At 39.1% G+C, this 20303-nt stretch overlaps 1 protein-coding gene across 11 annotated transcripts in view; it reads left to right on the forward strand.

The window, feature by feature from the left end:
* Window positions 590-20303, forward strand: part of COL14A1 (collagen type XIV alpha 1 chain) — a 249120-nt gene continuing 229406 nt past the window's right edge. For 7 of the 11 annotated variants that reach the window (NM_001384947.1, NM_021110.4, NM_001413498.1 and 4 more), the window contains exon 1: window positions 1238-1476. The gene's annotated coding sequence lies outside the window, so the exon portion shown is untranslated. Of the gene's footprint in view, window positions 626-1237; window positions 1477-18053; window positions 18182-20303 lie in introns of those variants that run through there. The other 4 variants (NM_001413493.1, NM_001413494.1, NM_001413490.1 and 1 more) reach the window with 2 other exon arrangements.

Raw genomic sequence — 20303 nt, forward strand, 5'->3', positions numbered from 1 at the left:
TCCAGCCGCAGGACCCCTGCTGCAGCTCGGAGCACGCGCAGCAATGCAAATAACACATTCGAGGAGAGCAGAGGAGGTGGCTAGCCGCAGCTTGGACAGTTGGAATGTCGGAGGGACTACCCTGCAAATCACAGCCCTTCTATCGGGATTCTCAGCTGGGCATGATGGAGGCAAATTTGGAAACCTAAGAGTACCACTTGCCTTCCTCTCTCATTGCTCCATCACCAGCCTTTGGTGGTGGTGAAATATTCTTTTCAGTTTTCCAAAGCAAGGAAGTATTTTCTCACAAAATAGGGTTTTGCTGAATTCTCAGTTTCCACCCACCTTCCGCCTAACATTTGTAAAGAATCGGGCATGCAGGATGGGGACTATGGGTCAAAAATAAGTAAAGGTGTTGACTCTTCTAGAGGGCCCACCCAGCAGGTGAGCGCGCGGGACAGAGTCTCCGGAGAGCCAGCGCCGGGCCCTGGTGGCCTCCTGCTCTTCACATCTCAAGGCAGAGCCTCTCAAAGAGTGGCCTGCAAGGATCTGAACCACCAGGGGGTGTGATATTGCAGAGTCCCTGGCCTTACCTCAGGCTCCTTAAACCAGAATCTCTGCGGGTGGGGAATCAGCAGGTTATGAGGTACAACCACACGAAATTGCCTACATTCGTCTTTTTGTAACCTACAGAAATGTCCATTTCGATACCTCCAGCTGATTCCCCTGCACCTTAAAGTTTGAGCATCGCTGCTTTGGCGTTTTAGAGCCCTTGGACTTGTTCACAAGAGGAAGAGGGAGAAGAGGAGGCTCGAAGGGGGCCTTTATAGTGGATACCTGTTTCACTCGGAGCTCAGGGTCTTTGACGCGGGAAGGCAAAGTCTGTCTTTTGGAAATGGGGAAGTGGGCACACAGCACCTGAGAACAGGAGGGCTCGAGACCTCCCAAAGAGAGCAGGGGGCCTGGTTTGGGAGCTTGCAGTAGCTTCTGCCCCAGTGGAAGGGAAAGAGCCTGGCTCGCTCTCGGCGCGCCACATCCGGCTGCCGCGCGCACCTGGGGGGACCGCCAGGTTCGGGGTAGGCGAGCGCGTGAGCGGCACGGGGCTGGCTTCTCCACATCTCCGGTAGGGCGGGGATGGGGGAGAGGAGGAGGAGAGAAAGTGGGGGCGTTATGGGCTTAGGCCTGCCTCCCACCTCCCCACCTCCCGCCTCCGCGGCCACCCTCCGCTCTATAATTGGCTGCCGGCGGGCCTTCCTTTCCTCTTATCTGATCCTGGGCTCCCAGCTGGAGAGGCGGAGGCAGCTCCAGGGGGCTGGAAGTGGAAGCGCAGCGGCAGAAGGAGAGGGAGAGAGAAAGAGAGAGAGGCTAATTAAAAAAGGATACTCCGAGGGAAGAGAGCAAGGGCGGTGCGCCGCCAAGGACCAACTAGCGGCGGAGCTTCGATCTTGCCTAGGCGCGGAGAGCTCCCAACCTGGGCTGGAACCTTGCCCAGCACAGGTCAGTTCGTCTTTCTCTGCTCTTCTTTGGCTCGGCTTCGAAGTCCATTCATGAGCAAGGAAAAGTGGAGGCAGCGAGCCACCTGCAGACGCAATGCAGTTCCATGGACTTTCTTTTCACGCGCGCGCCCAGAATGGACTGGGGACCTTTGGGACGGGATGGGACGGGTACACCTGGATGCCTTTTCGCGGGGTTCACGGTGTAGGGAGATTAGAGGCATTGGGTGATGAGAGCGCAGGGATAGTGGAAATACCATGTGCTGCTCCGGGAAGCTTTTCCCAGTGTTTGAGTGACGTGAGCGTGTGGCGGGAAGAAGCTGCGTTTGGCTGCGGGACAGTGGCGGCTCCAGCATTTCCATATAGAAGGGGCTTAACAAAGGCGGTAATTTGGGTGGGATCCGTCTTGAAGGGCTGTGTGTGCATAAAGAACACGCTGTTTTTATTTATCTTGTGTTTGGGATAGCTTGAGAGAGCTGCTGATGGAGATCATAGGGGACGAAACTCACCCAGTCACCTGTTGGCTCTGCTACAGATTTGGGTAGCTGAGAACCAGGCGCTGGACGCAAAGGGAAACAGCTAGGTAGAGCTCGATGATGGAGGATGGGGACAGTAGGCGCTCCTCCACCTCTCTGCGCCGGGAGGCTGGGATGCTTCGTGCGTTTTGCTTTGGTGCCAGAAGCCAGGAGGTTGCGGTTTTGAGAGAGGCACCGCCAGGTTGTAATATTGGAGAATCCTCTCCGCTTTGGCTTGCCGACCTCTCACTTGCCCCCTTTTATCTCTCTGACACCCCCCGCACCCCGCGCCCCCTCAGGCCTCCTATTACACAGCGCCTGGGCGGATAGGCATCCGGGGCAGCTGGGCTTCGGCGCATGGGGCCATTACAGTGGCCTCGGTCCTAGGGCAGAGCCTGGAGGCCGCCGGCAGGTCCAGGACCACAGGTGCTCAGATCTTGGTGCTGGGTTCTTGGGTCCTCTGTGGCTCAGGGTTGCTCTGCTAAGGTCCAGGAGGGTTTTGGACCTGTCCTTACGGAAAGTTCCGTGTCCAAATGAAGCTTGTGTGCAGCTCTCACATGGGCCAGGATTTCCCCCCAAACATTGCTTCTCAGAGTCCCATTACTTCTGCAAGTTTTGGAGAGTCCTCTGTTGGCAGCAGCTGAAGGGGGTGGGAGTGGGGGCAGGAACAAGAGAAAGATGGGAGTAAGTCTTTGGTGGCTGTGGAGAGGAGAGCAGAAATGAAAATGGATTTTCCTGAAACTCCTGTTAAAGGCCTTGGGGCCCCTCCTCTACTGAGGGACAGGGAGGGCACTTTTTATAATACTTGCAGTAGGTGATAGAGAGGCTCTCTTGAAACCCAGCAAACAGGCTTTAAGCTGGATGCAGTGAAGGACCGGTGTTCTGTTTCTGACAGCATGGTCCAGTCTGCACATAGAGAACTCACTGGTAAATTTAGAATGAGTGAATGAATAAATGAATGAATGAACAGCATGTGAATATTTGGTTTTTCAGAAGAGTAACTTGGATTCCTTTGAACCCAAGTGCTTCGCTATTATAAGGTAAACTTCAGAATAGTTTTGTTTGCTTGTTTTTAAAACAGCTTTATTGAGATATAATTCATATACCTCTCAATTAACCAATTTAAAGTGTACAATTCAATGATTTTTAGTGTTTTCACAGAGCAGAGTAAATCCACCATTTTAGAATATTTTAGCACCCCAAAAAGAAACCCTGTACCTATTAGCAGTACCTCCCCATTTCTCCCTAACCTGCCGCCGTGTCTGTATGGATTTGCCTATTTCGGACATTTCATATAAATGGAAGAATACAATATGTGGTCCTTTGTGACTGCTTCTTTTACCTAGCAAAATATTTTCAAGGTTCATCCATGATGTACAGGCTATCTTTCTTATTCTCTCAGTAAATACTGGGTATCCATCCTCTCCTTCTCCCTGGGGATCCCTGAGCCAGGATAGACCTGAACCTCCACTGCAGCCCTGACCTCCTGTGGGTCCCTTTGAAAGGACAGGCGCCCCACTGGTAAGGCCTCTTAGTAATTCCCTGGGAAGTATTCCTTGGAACCCATCAGGATTCCTGGAGCAGTTTTGGATGGATCCCAGCCTTCAAGATTGATGGGAGGAGGCTCTTGGCACTTATCCTGCTGCGAACCGTCCAGCTGAGGATTTCAGAGAACTCTTGGGGCCCTCCACGCATGTCTTGATTTTTCAGAATCAGCCAGGGCTGCTCTTAAAAATGGGCTGAACAAATCGATCTGATTTGAGGGGCTCTAGGGAAAGCCCCTAGCTCATTAAGAAGACCTCTTGGGGAGTCTCCCTTTCAATCTTAAATATTTCCTAGTGTCACACAGTAAAACACAAATGTCTTTTGCTCGTTTTCAGTTGACAGCCTCTGCAGTGATACCACTGTAAAGCCACATTCGCAGTCAGTGTTATCTAAACCCAGCCAAATGACTGCTGTTTTCCTGGCCTGTCTAGTGTAACCTAAGATCCCTTTAAAGGACAAGAGCCTTCCTAGAACTGCTGCATGATGGAGTGGTGCTGTTTGAGCACCACTGAGTTAACAAATTATCTGGGATTATGATAGTCCATTGAGAACAAAGTTGTTGGTAAACGGGGCACTAGTTGATCCCCCCAGGGAACTGACAGTAGAGTGGAGGGAGAAAGTTTAAAGGAAAGTGATAAAAATAAACTTTCTTCTTGGCAGGTTTGCCCCTCGATAGTGCTGGATGTTAGGAAAATAATCATTCTCCTTGACTTCTTCTGTGAGTAAATAAAAAATGGCAGGGATCCAGTTACTTTTCTGTATACACTAAGCTTTTGTTGTAGACCAAACTGCATCCTGTTCCTGTGACGTGTGTGTGTGTGTGTGCGCGCGCGTGTGTGTGTGTGTGTGTGTGTGTGTGTGTGTGTTGGAAATGTTGGCATATTTTTTGAGTACTTACTGGGTATCTGCCTTTTTCTCTTTTAGAAACACACTTAAGTCTCCCAGTTACTTGGGGAAGAAAATAATATTCCTCCTTTAGCAATCACTGAGCTTCAAGGATAAAAAGCACCTTGTATGGGATCACAAAGACAGCAAGTGACAGAAATATGATTAAGAAAAGTCTATATGGGGCCAGGCACAGTGGCTCATGCCTGTAATCCCAGCATTTTGGGAGGATCACCTGAGGTCAAGAGTTCAAGGCCAGCATGGCCAACATGGCAAAACCCCATCTCTACTAAAAATATAAAGATTAGCTGGGCGTGGTGGTGGGCACCTGTAATCCTAGATACTTGGGAGGCTGAGGCGGGCATTGAGAATATAAAAGAGAGTCTATAGGAAATTCTGAGCGTTCTTTAAGTCAAAGTTTAGAGCCTAGACTCCCCGTTTCCTCCAGGTAATTTTTTTATTAGTGGTCTTGTTGCACTTTTCTCTCTATGGGCCTTTGTCGGAGCTACCCTGAAAGGTGTCTCTGTGAATTTTAGAGAGCAATGTTTTGCCTCATTTCTCCTAGAAATTATCTGAGTTGCTTACAAAAATTGGTCCAGAGGTAGGTTGTGCTTTGCTAAGTCCATTGCAATGTCTTAGGGTGTGTCTTTATCTAGGAGCAGTCAGAGGGCCCATTATTGGATAAAGATCTATTTCTGGGTGGCCTTTTGTCTCTGGCTTTTGCAAAGAGGAGAACATTTAATTGATGTCTAAAAATGATAATTTGCTGCAGGTTGTTTGCTTCTGTTCTTCCTTCACTTCCCAGCCCTGTCTCCTGCCATGTGCTGGCACTGTGCTAAGCATTCAAAATACAGTAGGGAATAATATGCTTTGGCAAATGGAAATGCCAATAGCTAACTACGGGGTAGTGTTCAATGCTGCAGAATGGAAAATAAAGATTACTACTATAGGAAACAGGAAGAGCACCTGACCCCAGACTTGGAAGATCAAGGAAAACTTCCTGAAGGAAAGGATGTCTAAACTGAGATGTAAAGCTACCCTTTATACTGATTACAGATGTACATTGTAGTTAAAAACAGTCTCCCATTTCTTTGACAGATGAACTATGTCAGTGTTTGAAAAAAATGAAGAGAGGGAAAAAAAGCCAGGTGAAGAACATTCTTGTGTCAAGCAGCTGTCATTCCAATTTGCCATACTTTTGGAATGGCTCTACCTTCTGTCATTTAGAACATACAGCATGAGTTTAATACTGATTGAGCAGCTGTATAACTGAGGCTAATTTTCAGTCAAATTCCTTGCGTTTGAGTGATTCACAGGGATGCTGCTAACCTAATATAGTTTTTCTGTAAATTAGAAAAAGGAAGCCTCTCTGTGCAAACCTATGGCATGGGAGAAGAAAACAGTTCTGTTTTATCTGGATAACACAGCTTTGCACTGGGGCACACAACTTGGGAGCAGAGTGTCTGCCAATTTCAAGTGTCATTGACCCTAGGCGAAGTGTAAATTGTTTAGTTCATTAACTGCGAGCTGTACACACATTAGCCCTGATCATTCAGTCATTAACTATTAAATCAATCAATATTTACTGATTGCCTATGTGTGTTGAACTTTCTTGAATATGGGTTAAACTGCCCATCTAGATGTCTGATAGTGCCCAAGATCTAGAAGGTTAAAACAGTGACTGAGGCCATGAAACTAGCTGGAGAACCTCAATAAGATGAGGGACAGATGCAGTTCATCAGAGGCCTGGTTGGTGAAGGATCAAGTTTGGTGCTACTGCTGGTTGGTGCCCATCCACAAACTGTTACCTGCCTCTGATAAGACAAAAACTACACGATGATGTAAATCAAATATGTCAATAAGCGCACTGTTCACCAAGCACACTGTTAGTTCAACGGAGATTATCATTATTTTTTCATAGCAAAGCTTTTCTGACGAAGGAAGCAAAAGAATACATAGACTTGCATATTGGCATAAGCTCCTTATCTCACTGAGGACCAGTAACAGTTCATAGACCAGCTACTTTGAGTAGCACCAATCTAGGCAACATTGGCCCACATTTGGCCAGATAGGTCATCTTGTATCCTTTCTGCCTTTATACTGTTTTCTTTTCTCTCTTTTCCCCTTATTTTTTCTTTGTTTCCTCTGCCTCCTCATCTTCTTCCTCTTCATCATTTTCCCTTTTCTTCTTCCTTCCCTTATTCCTACTTTACTGTTGCTTTCCCCTTCCATTTGATATTTCTCTCTTAAACAAAAATCACTGTGCATTTTATTCAGCTTTTTGTCTTTTAAAAAGCAAAATAAAGAAAGCCTACGTGTACAAGGAAAGAAATGTAAAATGGAAACATCACTAACTTGGAGAAAATTAAAAGAATTTAATGGTAATTAAAATAAAAATATGCCAATAAATTAGAAAGCCTGGATGAAATGGATTCTTTTTTTTCCAACTTTTATTTTAAGTTTGGGGATACAAGAACAGGTTTATGACATAGGTATATGTGTCATGCTGAAGTTTAGGGTATGAATGATCCCATCACCCAGGTAGTGAGCATAGTACCCAAAAGGTAGTTCTTCAACCCTCACCCCCTTTTTTTTCCTTCCCTCGCTATTAGTCCCCACTGTCTGTTTTCTCATCTTTATGTCCATGTGTACTGTTTAGCTCCTACTTATAAGTGAGAATATGTGGTACTTGGTTTTCTGTTCCTCTGTTAATTCACTTAGGATAATGGCCTCCAGCTGCATCCATGTTGCCGCAAAGGACATGATTTTGTTCTTTGTTATGGCTGTGTAGTATTCCATGGTGTATATGTACCACATTTTCTTTATCCAGTCCACCATTGATGAGCATCTAGGTTGATTTCACATCTTTGTTATTGTGAAGAGTGCTGTGATGAACATAGGAGTGCATGTGTCTTTTTGGTAGAATTATTTATATTCCTTTGCGTATATATCCATTAGTGGGATTACTGAGTTGAACGGTAGTTTTTTAAGTTCTTTGTGAAATCTCCAAACTGCTTTCCACAGTGGCTGAACCAATTTACATTCCTACCAACAGTGTATAAGCATTTCCTTTTCTCTGCAAATCTGTTTTTTTTTTTTTGACTTTTTAATGATAGCCATTCTGATTGGTGTGAGATAGTATCTCAATGTGATTTTGATTTGCATCTTTCTGATGATTAGCAATGTGGAGCATTTTTTCATGTTTGTTGGCTGCTTGTATGTCTTCTTTTGAGAAATATCCGCTCATGCCCTTTGCCTACATTTTTAATAGGGTTATTTGTTTTTTGCTTGTTGAATAATTTAAGTTCATTATAGATTCTGGATATCAGACCTTTGTTGGGTCCATACTTTGCAAATACTTTCTCCTATTCTGTAGATTGTCTATTTACTCTCTTGATAGTTTCTTTTGCTATTCAGAAGCTCTTTAGTTTAATTAGATCCCACTTGTCAATTTTTGTTTCTGTTGCAGTTGATTTGAGGACTTAGTCATAGATTCACTGCCAAAGCCTGTGTCTGGAATGGTATTTGCTAGGTTTTCTTCCTTTTTTCTTCCTTTCTTTTTTTTTTTTTTTTTTTTTTTTTTGAGACAGAGTCTTGCTCTGTCACCAAGGCTGGAGTGCAGTGGCGCTATCTCGGCTCACTGCAACCTCTGCCTCCTGGGTTCAGGCGATTCTCCTGCCCCAGCCTCTCTAGTAGTTGGGATTACAGGCATATGCCCCACCATGCCCAGATAATTTTTTATATTTTTAGTAGAGATGAGGTTTCACTGTGTTAGCCAGGATGGTCTTGATCTCCTGACCTCATGATCCACCCGCTTTGGCCTCCCAAAGTGCTGGGATTACAGGCATGAGCCACTGTGCCCAGCCGATATTTGCTAGGTTTTCTTCTAGGATTTTTTTATAATGTTAGATCTTACATTTAAGCCTTTAATCTATTTTGAGTTAATTTTCATATATGGTGAAAGGTAGGAGTCCCATTTCATTCTTCTGCATACAGCTAGCCAGCTATTCCAACACCATTTATTGAAGAGGTAGTCCTTTCCCCATTGCTTGTTTTTGTTGACATTGTTAAAGATCAGGTGGTTGTAGGTGTGTGACTTTATTTCTGTGTTTTCTAACCTGTTCCGTTTTCTGTGTGTTTGTTTTTGTACCAGTACCATGCTTTTTTGGTTACTGTAGCCTTGTAGTAGAGTTTGAAGTTGGATAATTTGATGCCTTCAATTTTGTTCTTTTTGCTTAGAATTGCTTTGGCTATTGAGGCTCTTTTTTGGTTTTGTTTAGAATTTTTTTTTTTTCTATTTCTGTGAAAAATGATGTAGGTAGTTTGATAGCAATAACATTGAACCTGGATATTGTTTTGGGTAACGTTCTTTTTTTTCTCTTTGAAACAGAGTCTTGTTCTGTCACCCAGGCTGTGTTTTGGGCAGTATTCTTATTTTAATGATATGAAATGAGTTATTTTTAAACAAAGTACAAATTACTAAAACTGATTTTTTATTATACAGGAATTATGAATAAAACATTAGACACAAACATGTTGAAAAAGTTGTTAAAAAGTAACCTCTCCAAGAGTACTGAACTCTCCCCATGGTTTTGCAATTGAATGCTAATGAAAATGTAAAAAAATAAAAATACCGTGCTATTATAACTGTTCCGGCCGGGCGCGGTGGCTCACGCCTGTAATCCCAGCACTTTGGGAGGCCGAGACGGGCGGATCACGAGGTCAGGAGATCGAGACCATCCTGGCTAACACGGTGAAACCCCGTCTCTACTAAAAATACAAAAATTAGCCAGGCATGGTGGCGCGTGCCTGTAGTCCCAGCTACACAGGAGGCTGAGGCAGGAGAATGGCGTGAACCCGGGAGGCGGAGCTTGCAGTGAGTTGAGATCGCGCCACTGCACTCCAGCCTGGGCGACAGAGCGAAACTCCGTCTCAAACAAAAAAAAAATAAAAAAAAAAAAAATAACTGTTCCAAAGTACAGTATAGAGAAAGAAGAAAAAATTCTGTTATTTTTTATAAAACTGGAAAAAATAATACTGATATCAAAACTTGACACAGCATAATAAAAAAGAAAAGCTACAGATTAATTTCACTAATATTGATGTACTTATTGATATGAATAGCATATTAGTAAATAGAACCCAAAAGAATAATTCACAATGATCAAGTTGGGCTCAAATTTTACAGGTAAGTTTAGTATTAGAAAATGGATTAATATAATTGTCATGTTAAAAAGTTAAGAGAAAAAAGTTAGAGGATATTCTTCATAACTACTACAATAATTTAACATTTTATTTCAGATTAATAGCTCAATAAAGTTTACACAGATGGAAATTTACTAAACATGATACATTTATATCAGTATATTTGTGTTTGTCTTCTCTAACAGTCTGTCTAGCCATGTGTCTTCAAAATCAAAGTCATGCCAAAGAAGCATTGCTATTAAAAATAAGAACAAGACAAAGTTTCCAGGATAAATATTCTGGAGATAGTAGCCAAAGTAATAAGAAAAGGGAAAGAAATGAAAAACATAAAATTTGGAAGGTAAGAAGAAAGATATCATCTACAGAAAAAATTAAGGAAATCAATTTTACAAACTTTAAGACTTTGAAAAAATGTTAAACTATTCAAGGTAGGTTACAAAATTAATATAAAAATAAAATTGCTTTACTATAATTAATAAACAACTTGTTTAAAAGTGATTAAGAAAAATCCATTAACAGGAAATAAAACATATATGTATATAATATGTAGAAATAAACTCAAAATGTCAAATTTATATAACTCTTTAAAGTGCTCATGAAGAAATGAAGATGACTGGCTTGAATAAACAAAGAATATATTCTTTTTTGATGTAAAGATGGACTATTGTATAAAAAAGGTCGATCTACCTAAATTGGTCTACTAATTTAACATGATCCCAATTTTGAGGAGTTTTTGGTACCTAGTCAAAAATAATCAGAAAGAAAACTTAAAAGAAAATATTAAAACATATTATAAAGTTTTGATATTTACAATTACTTAATAGTCACACATAAATAGAAAATCGATAGATTCGAAAATAAAATATAGCATTGTTAACCTGTGATCAAAAGGTAAATTATTCTATAAGTGGTATTGGACTAATTGGATAGACATGGAGAATAAAAGTTAAAACTTTTTCATTTACATCAAAATAAGTTTTAGATGATCAAAGATTTCAATTTAAAAATTGAAAATGTAAGAATACTAAAAGAAAATATAGGAAAATGCTATAATTCCAAAGGAGAAAGAGACTTATATGCATGTCATAAACCATAGGAGATAAAAAAGAAAAAAAATAAATATTGGGCAACGTGTTTTATCATATATGATGGAAAAAGAGCCACATATTAAATACAAAAATTTCTCATAAAAAGATGAACACTCCTAGCTGAGTGTGGTGGCTCACGCTTGTAATCCCAGCACTTTGGGAGGCCGAGGAAGTCAGATCACTTGAGGTCAGGAGTTCGAGACCAGCCTGGCCAACATGGCGAAACCCTGTCTCTACTAAAAATACAAAAAACAGTTGGGTATGGTGGTGCATGCCTGTAATCCCAGCTATTTGGGAGGCTGAGGCATGAGAATTGCTTGAACCTGGGAGGTGGAAATTGCAGCGAGCCAAGATTGCACCACTGCACTCCAGCCTGGGTGACAGAGTAAGTGAGATTCCATCACAAAAAACAAACAAACAAACAAAAAACAGATGAACAATCCTATAGAAAAATGACCAAGGATATGCTAGAGAGTTCACCGAACAAAAGACAGCTTAAGTAAATGAAAGATGTGCAGTCATACTTTTAGCCATGGTGATGTTATATGTTGAACTACAATTTTTTCATACATGAAAGAATTTGTAAATATCAGAGCCAGCAAGTTTATGGAAAAATAGACACATATACTTTTGGTGGTATATAAACTGGCATAATCTCTCTGGAGACCAATTTGGCAATATGCATTAATACTTTTTTTTTTCTTTTTGAGACAGTGTCTCCCTCTGTTGTCCAGGCTGGAGTGCAGTGGCACAATCTTGGCTCACTGAAACCTCCACCTTCCAGGTTCAACTAATTCTCCCACCTCAGCTTCCTGAATAGCTGGGATTACAGAAGCGCACCACCACAGCCTGTCTAATTTTTGTATTTTTAGTAGAGATGGGGTGTCACCATATTGGTCAGGCTGGTCTCGAACTCCCAACCTCAGGTGATCTGCCTGTCTTGGCCTCCCAAAGTGCTGGATTACAGGTGTGAGCCCTGTGCCCAACCCATTAATACTTTTTAAAAGGAATAAGCATACTTTATAACCAGCAGTTTAACTTTTAGCAAACTGTCTTAGAGAATATTTGTCCATGACTTTTTTGAGATTTTGATTAAAATTGCTTTGAATCTATAGATTATCTTAAAGACATTCTAACAGAGTACTTTTTTTTTTTTAACCCATGAACATGGTGCACTGCTCTATTTAGGCTTTCTTTCATTTCTGTCAGTAATACACTTTTATATTTTGGTATTCTGAAGAGTATAGAGGCCTTGCATGTCATATTAATTTCTAACTATTTTATGTTTTTGATGTCATTGTAAATAAATTTAAAATTTTTTTCTTTTTATTTATTTTCTGCTATTATATAAGAATACAATTGATTTTTTGCTGACTGATCTTGTCTGTCAGTCTTTCTAAATTATTAGTTCAAGTAGGGTTTTGTTTTTGGTAGATTCCTTAGAATTTTCTGGTAAACAACCCTGTTGATTGTGAATAGAGTCAGTTTACTTCTTCCTTCCCATTCTTTCTGCCTTTTATTTCTTTTTCTTGCCTGATTGCACTGGCTAGGACCTCTAGTACAGTGTTGAGTGGAACTAGTAATAGTTAACATCCCTATTTTATTCTTGATCTTAGGAGAAAAGCATTCAATATTTTACCATTCAGTGTGATACTAGCTATGGAGTTTTCATTGATGCCCTTTATTAGATTGAAGAAGTTCCTTTCTATTTTTAGTTTGCTGAGTTTCTTTAAAATCCTGAATGTGTATTGAATTTTGTGAAATACTTTTTGTCCTTCTATTTAGATTACACGCACACACACACACACTACATATATATATATATAAAATCTCATGCTAAATGATTAGTGGATATTATCTTGATGGTTAGCCTTTTTCTCCCTGAGGGAAGAAACATACTAAACATGCTAAATGATTTAAAAATATTAAACCAATATTACATTCCTGTAATAAGCTCTACTTGGTCATCATTATTATTATTTTTTACATTGTTAAATGCTATTTGATAATATTTTGTGAAAGATTTTTATATCTATGTTCATAAGGGTTATTCTGTGATTTTTATTTTTTGTGATGCTGTCTAGTTTTGATAAAAAGGTTATGTTAGGGCTGGGTGTGGTGGCTCATGCCTGTAATCCCAGCACTTTGGGCAGCTGAGGTGGGCAGATCACTTGAGGCCAGGTGTTCGAGACCAGCCTGGGCAACATGGTGAAACCCCCATCTCTACCAAAAATACAAAAATTAGCCATGTGTGGTGGCATGCGCCTGTAGTCCCAGCTCTTCGGGAGGCTGAGACAGGAGAATTGCTTGAACCCGGTAGGAGGTTGCAGTGAGCCAAGATTGCGCCACTGCACTCCAGCCTGTGTGACAGTGAGAGTCTGTCTCAAAAAAAAAAAAAAAAAAAAAAAAAAAAGGTTATGCTAGCCTTCACCTGTGCTTTCAGGAAGAGTTTGTGTAGGATTGGTATTATATTTTCCTTAAATATTTCATAGAATTTGCTAGTGAAGCCATCTGGGACTGTAATTTTCCTTGTGGAAATATTTTTTAATAACAAATTTAATCTCTTTAATAGATATAGGGCTATTTGGGTTTTCTATTTCTTCATGTGTCTGTTTTAGCAAGTTGAGTATTTCAATAGTTTATTTCCAAGTAAGCTAAATTGTTGGGATTATTGGCAAAAAGTTATTTGTATTTTTCCTTTTTAATTGTTTTTTAGTTTGTGAAGTAGGCAGTTATATCCTCTGTTATTCCTGGTATTGTTAATTGTGTTTCAATCTTTGTTCCTTGATCACACTTCCTAAAGGTTTTTAAATTTTATTAATATTTCAAAGAAGCAAATATTGGTTTTGTTAATTTCTACTAATGTTTTCTATTTCTTTAGTATTTGCTTTTATCTTTATTAATCACTTCCTTCAACTTAATTTGGATTCAGTTTGCTCTTCTTTTTCTAGCTTCTTTAGGTAAAAAATTAGAGCATTGATTTTAAATCTTTCTTCTTTTTTATATCAACATTTAAACCTATAAGTTTATCTCTAATTCTTTAGCTGCATTCCACAAATTTTCACAAATTGTACCTTTATTTTCATTCCCTTTCAAACATTTAAAAATTTCCGTTGTGATTTCATCTTTGACTCATTGATTATTTAGAAGCATATTGTTTAATTTTCAAATATTTTGAATTTATAAAGATATTTTATTATTATTCATTTTTTTTTAATTAGATGAGGTCTTTCTGTGTTGCCCAGTTGTCTCAAACTGCTGGGCTCAAGCCATCTTACACACCTTGACCTCCCAAAATGCTGGGATTATGGGTGTGAGTCACCATACCCAGCCTATTATTCATTTCTAATTTAAATCTATTTTCAGAAAACATACAGAGTATGTTTTTCAATCTTTTGAAATTTATTGAGTTTTATTTTATGGCCCAGAATATGGCCTATTTTGTTAAATTTTACTGTTACACTTAAAAAATGTACATTTTTGCAGTTGTTGGATGTAATGCTCAATAAATATCAACTACTTGATAGAGTTGTTCACAACTCTATCAATATATCTATATACCGATATATATCTATCAATATATCTATATACCAATATATTGTCTAATTGTTCAACCAGTTCTTGAGGAGTGCTGAAATCTTCAACTTTGCTTATTTCTTATTTCTTTAGTCCTATTAGTTTTTGCTTTATGTATTTTGAAACTCCATTATTAAATTCACACATATTTATGATTAATTTTTCCTAATTAAGTGATCTTTATCATTCTGAAATGTCCAGGATTTGAGGGCAGTTTTATGCAGATTTTGCTCCCCCTGCCCCCACATTGTGTCTCATTCCATTCTGACATTTCCCTTCTCAATATCTAGTTTCTCTAGTATTCCTGAATTCTGTTCCCTGATGCTTTATGCCAGTAAGACAGCAGCTTTCCCCCTGATTTCTGATCACCATGCCATGCATAGTGGGGAGTTCCTTCAGAGAGAAAAAAGCTAACCACCAAACTAATAGGAACTAAACTAGGTCTTCTTTATTCCTAATTTAGAGTTTTTTCCTCCTATGTCATGATGCTAACAGATAAGTGTAATAATTGCTCACTTCCTCCAGTACTTTTTAAGTAGATCTCGTTAGCTAATCTTGAAAATCCTTTTATGATTCTGGATGTGAGGAGGGTAGTATTTCAATAGTGAGAAGAAATGAGGAGGAATATTTTCAAAGCTAACACACTGGATGATACATTAAGCCTATTTCTTTTGTTGTTGTTTTTTTGGTTTGTTTTTTAATTTACAAAAATGTGTGACCTAGATCATCAGTTGACTGTAAAATTCTCTTTCTATAAAGTAGATATGAACATATATATAAAATGTGGAGTTGAGGAAGGCATCCTAGAGATCATTTTATCCAGTTCTCTTGCCCCCAAATTCAGGAATCCCTTTGATAACATCTCTTATGAGTAAAACTTAGCTAGCTTCTGCCCCAGAATTTCTAGTGACAGAGAAGAAATGCTTCTAACTGTTAGAGCTGTTACAGAACTCCTGTGGGTTGGGAGCATCCCAACTGATTAGAGTTCTGTTTTCAGAAGCTATGTAAAATAATACTGTTTTATCTTCTACATAAAACTCTTCTAATATATGAAAACTTCTGTTATGTGTCTCTGATTCTTATTTTTCTTTCGTATAAAATATGCTTAAATATCACCATTTCTTTCAAGTCTTCTTTGCCTGAACTTGTCAGTTGTAACTGCTGAGTCCTTTTTTAAGCCTATGAATTACTCGAGTCAGGTCGCCCATGTCTTCATATGGTTGATCATTTCAAACCTGTATAGAGCTATCATCTGGAGAATGATAAAAATGGCTAGAAATGTATTTTGAAAAGTCTAAACTGGTTCACTCTTGCAAATAACTGTTGCCTCTGTCATTATCTGGATATTCAGTTTTTGCCTAAACTTTTTTGCCAAGTTAGTCCCACAACCTTAATGTGATAGAAGAGATAAAGTCTTCTTGATTCTCCTTCCTTTTTTAGCATCTGCTCAAGTAGAAAATTCATTATGATTCCCCTTTCCTTTTTTGCTATTTCAACATGTTGCGATCATGCTACCAATTAGAAATTTTTGAGAGTTATCTGTGTTCTAAGTAAATTAATTAAAATACCACAATCATCTTAAAAGGTAGACATAGCCAAGTGCGGTGGCTCATGCCTATAATCTTGGCACTGGGAGGCGGAGGTGGGAGGATTGCTGGAGCCCAGGAGTTCAAGACCAGCCTAGGCAACAAAGTGAGATCCTGTCTTTATAAAAAAAAATAAAAAAAACTAGCCAAGTGAGGTGGCATGGGACTGTAGTCCCAGCTACTCAGGAGGCTGAGGCAGGAGGATCTCTTGAGTCTAGGAGTTCAGGCATGCAGTTGGCCATGTTCATGCCACTGCACTCCAGCCTGGGTGACAGACAGAGATCCTAAAAAAAACCCAAATCAAAATAACAACAACAATAAATTAATGAATTAAAAAATAAAAGATAGATATTATCTCACACATTTCATTGATAAAGAGCAGAGAGTGGTTAAACCAGCTAGCCAAGGACCTATATATAGCAAATTATCACCACAAGTGGCTTCCTCACTCACAATTTTCTATTCATACCACCACCTGTGCTACCTTTCTGTTCTGTTTCATACTTATTTCATTCGGTTTTGCAATATGATTGCTGGCAATCTTGCTTTTCAAGTAAATTGTAAGTGAGCTCACCTAAGGTTCACTTTTCAATTCATCTTTTTTTTTTTCAATTAACTTTAAGTGAGCTACCAAGGGGAAGATATGGTACGAAGTTTTGTATCTTTCTTATTATCAAGTACAGTGCTTTGGTTATATAGTAGGACTCTTAATAAATGATTGTTGAAATGAACATTTAATACTATAAATAACAATCTCCCTCAGGGCATGGAGTTGCTGGATATATGGTATACCAAATAACTAACAAGAATTTCATTTAAGTTTATGGTTTATTTTTTGTAAGTCACCAACGATTGAATACAATATTATCCAAGGTTTGTGTGTATATATGTGTATAAATCTCGGCGTGAGAGAGAGTGAGTGTGTGTGGTTTACGAAAACGTTAGGATAAATATTTAAGGAATTTTGATAAAATTGGCTGTATGTTAGTCTGGGAATTTTGTGGATGCCTGTAAGCATTGCTTAATGCTTACACTTTGGGCCTTTGCTCGTTATTAAACTTATCTGGACAAATGAGATTAAATAAAACAAACATATGAGTGGAAGGGCAAATTAGCACTAATGGGCCTAGTTTTATGTTACTGATTGTAAAATTATGACAGTGTTTTAAGAGCACTTGTATTAAACATTATCAACTTTCCATAAATTTGGCTTATACCTTCCGAATAGAGAACTAAGTAGCCATTTCTAACATGACGTTTTTAAACAAGAGCAAAAAATCAAGGCAGAGTTATTTGTTTTGTGCAGGCTTTGGGGCAAAGTTTTAACAAATTAGGTTTGACATTTTGGTAAATGTTAAACTATCTCATGGCATTTTAATAGCATTGGGATTTTTCTTGCCCTTACTTTACTGTCCAAAAGTTTGGGGACTTGGCAGAAAAGCTTGGGAAAACTGAAATTTCACTTCTCCCAATGTGGTATTGCTCATCCTAACTTAAAATAAACAACAACTAAAGAAGAATTTATGCTGGGCACAGTGGCTCATTCCTATAATCCCAGTATTTTGAGAGTCTGAGAAGGGGGAGTTGCTTGAGCCCAGGAGTTCGAGACTAGCCTGCACAAGATGGGGAGACCACATTTCTACAAAAAATTTTTAAAAAATCAGCAAGGTGTGGTGGCACATGCCTATAGTCCAGCTGCTTGGAAGGCTGAGGTGGGAGAATCACTTGAGTCCAACAGATTGAGGCTGTTGTGAGCCATAATTTCACCACTGCAGCCCAGCTTGGGTGACAGAAGCAGACCCTGTCTCAAAAAAAAGAAAACAAAAGAAAAGAAAAAAAGGGTTTTAAAGATAAGCTATGGTTACAATGCTTTTTCCATATAAATAATGCCCAGTTTCCAAAAAAATTGCCAAGACTAGCATAGCATTTATTTAGTTAGTTAAAAAGTACATGAGATGCAGATTAACCTGCAATATTACATGTTAAGTATTGCTTCAAAACACTTGGATGCAGGAACTGCTTTGATGAGAATAGAGAAAGGCTATTTGATTGTGGCCTTTCACAATAGGAGAAAAAGGTTCCTTTTCCCTATGTTAAAGAGGACCTTTTTCTTCTACATTAAAACAGTATTATGGGTATCTTTTAACATTTTTTAATTTAATTTTTAATTTCTTTTTGTAGAGTCAGAGTCTCACTGAGTTGCTCAGGCTGGTCCCAAACTCTTGGGCTCAAGCGATCTTCCTGCCTTGGCCTCCCAAAATTCTAGGATTACAGGTGTGAGCTACCACACTTGGCCAGGGATGTCTAATGTAAGTCTCCTGATCTGAAAAGGAAATTTTTTTTTTCTCCAAAAAGACAAACGTGGCCTGTTTTTTTTTACCTTTCTTTTCCTTGCTTTGTTCTGATTGAAACCTCTGGTTATAATGTTTGGAAAAGGAAATCTTAGAATATTTCATTGGAGTTGAGTGATTCTGCTGCAATATGTTTCTTTGGGTGTGGTGGACAGCTATCTGTGTGACTGGCAGATTTACTGAATGTTTTGATTTGATAGGGCTGAAGCCTGCTGCCATATCTTTTCAAATTCTCCTGCACTCATGCCTTCTGTCTACAGAAGAGCTGCTTATACTTGTTTGGATAATCCACTAATCTTGTTTTACTTGACTTTGTAGGGTTAGGGTTATATGTATACCCTGGGGCTTTTCCTCCCATAGTTCATCAACTTTTACTAACCATTTTCCCAATGTCTTCTGTGTTCTGATAAATTAATCCAGGCTATAATGCTATATAGATGGTAGTCACTTAATATGTTGACTATTCTTTTAGCATGTACACTGAATGTATTGCCTATTCCATTAGGAATTTTAAGGAATTTCCAGTATGTGAATTTGTTAATCTAAGAAAACATTCTTTACTAATTAGCATTTTGGTGGTAGGCCGGTAGGGGAAGATATATTTTGAACCCTAAGCACAAACTAGTACATTCTTTAATTTTTATTGCAGGACCTTAACTTGAATATTTGTATAATGATCAAAGTATATGGGTCTCCCTTTTATTGGCAACATAAAAGAGTTGTATACTAGACTGTGATTGGATATTTAAAAAAAGCTTAGTTGTCAAAAATTTTTTTATGAATGGTTGCTTGAAGGAAATATAATTAATTTATTCCTTTAGATATACCATATTATTTTGAAATAAAACCCAAGTATCAGAGATTTAACTACGTGAGTCATGTTACTTTGAAAGTTTACGTAACTATGCTTTGCTGCATTCATCAGAGGCTTTTGCACTTAAAGCTACTACCTGAAAGCTATATTAATCTACCCCACTCATTCTATTCACAGAATTGAATGATTGTAGGAGTTATAGAACCCAACATCCCACTTGATACAGTTTTTCCTTCACACTCTCCAGACTGAAAGGATGCAAACAGGATTGTTTGAAAATCTTCAGGCCTAGCTCCAGTCTAAAGCCTGATTGGCATATGCCTTACCAGATTATAGATGTTGTTTCAAAGAACAGACTAGTGCAGTATCTCTCAAAAGAACAGCATCCAGGACTGGGGGAAGTAGCATAACAGCAATTAAAAAATACTTGGGACTGGCCGGGCACAGTGGCTCACGCCTGTAAACCCAGCACTTTGGGAGGCCGAGGTGGGCGGATCACAAGGTCAGGAGTTTGGGACCAGCCTGGCCAACAGGGTGAAACCCTGTGTCTGCTAAAAAAAATATAATACAAAACAAAAAAATTGGCCGGGCGTGGTGCACATGCCTGTAATCCCAGCTACTTGGGAGGCTGAGGCAGAAGAATTGCTTGAACCCAGGAGGCAGAGGTTGCAGTGGGCCGAGATCGCACCACTGCACTCCAGCCTGGGCAACAGAGCGAGACTCCATCTCAAAAAACAAAAACAAACACACAAAAAACTTGGGATTTAAATAAACAATATGGAGTATTTTTTAAAGCATTCAAGGGGGTCAGAGTCTCCAAGCTTTGTAAGCTAAGAGATAGCTTGTACTCTGCTTGGTATAATCCCTCTCATGGTGGGAATTTTATCCGGACATTCCATTATCAAAGATCTTGAAATGGTAATAGTATGGAGATACTAGATAAATGTAATGTGACTTAAAATATCATTGTAATAATAATTTTTAAAATACTCATACTCTTCCATTTGGGGGTAAATTACACCTAGAATAGTATTCTCATTCTTATTCCTCAAGAAGAATTAATATTCTTTTGAGTCCTGTAATCAGTCATACCTAGTTTTGAGTTGCAATTAGGTAACTTCAATTGATGTGTTTTTATTGTTGCCACTGGAGACATATATCTATAGTAGAGAAAATTATAGGAATTTAAAGCTGAACACATTTTGATAAATGATAAGCATATAACAAGGAGTGTTTGCACTTGATTAGTTTCTTAGGAGTTGGACA

The sequence above is a fragment of the Homo sapiens genome, chromosome 8 (genome assembly GCF_000001405.40).
Source record: "Homo sapiens chromosome 8, GRCh38.p14 Primary Assembly".
NCBI lineage: Eukaryota > Metazoa > Chordata > Mammalia > Primates > Hominidae > Homo > Homo sapiens.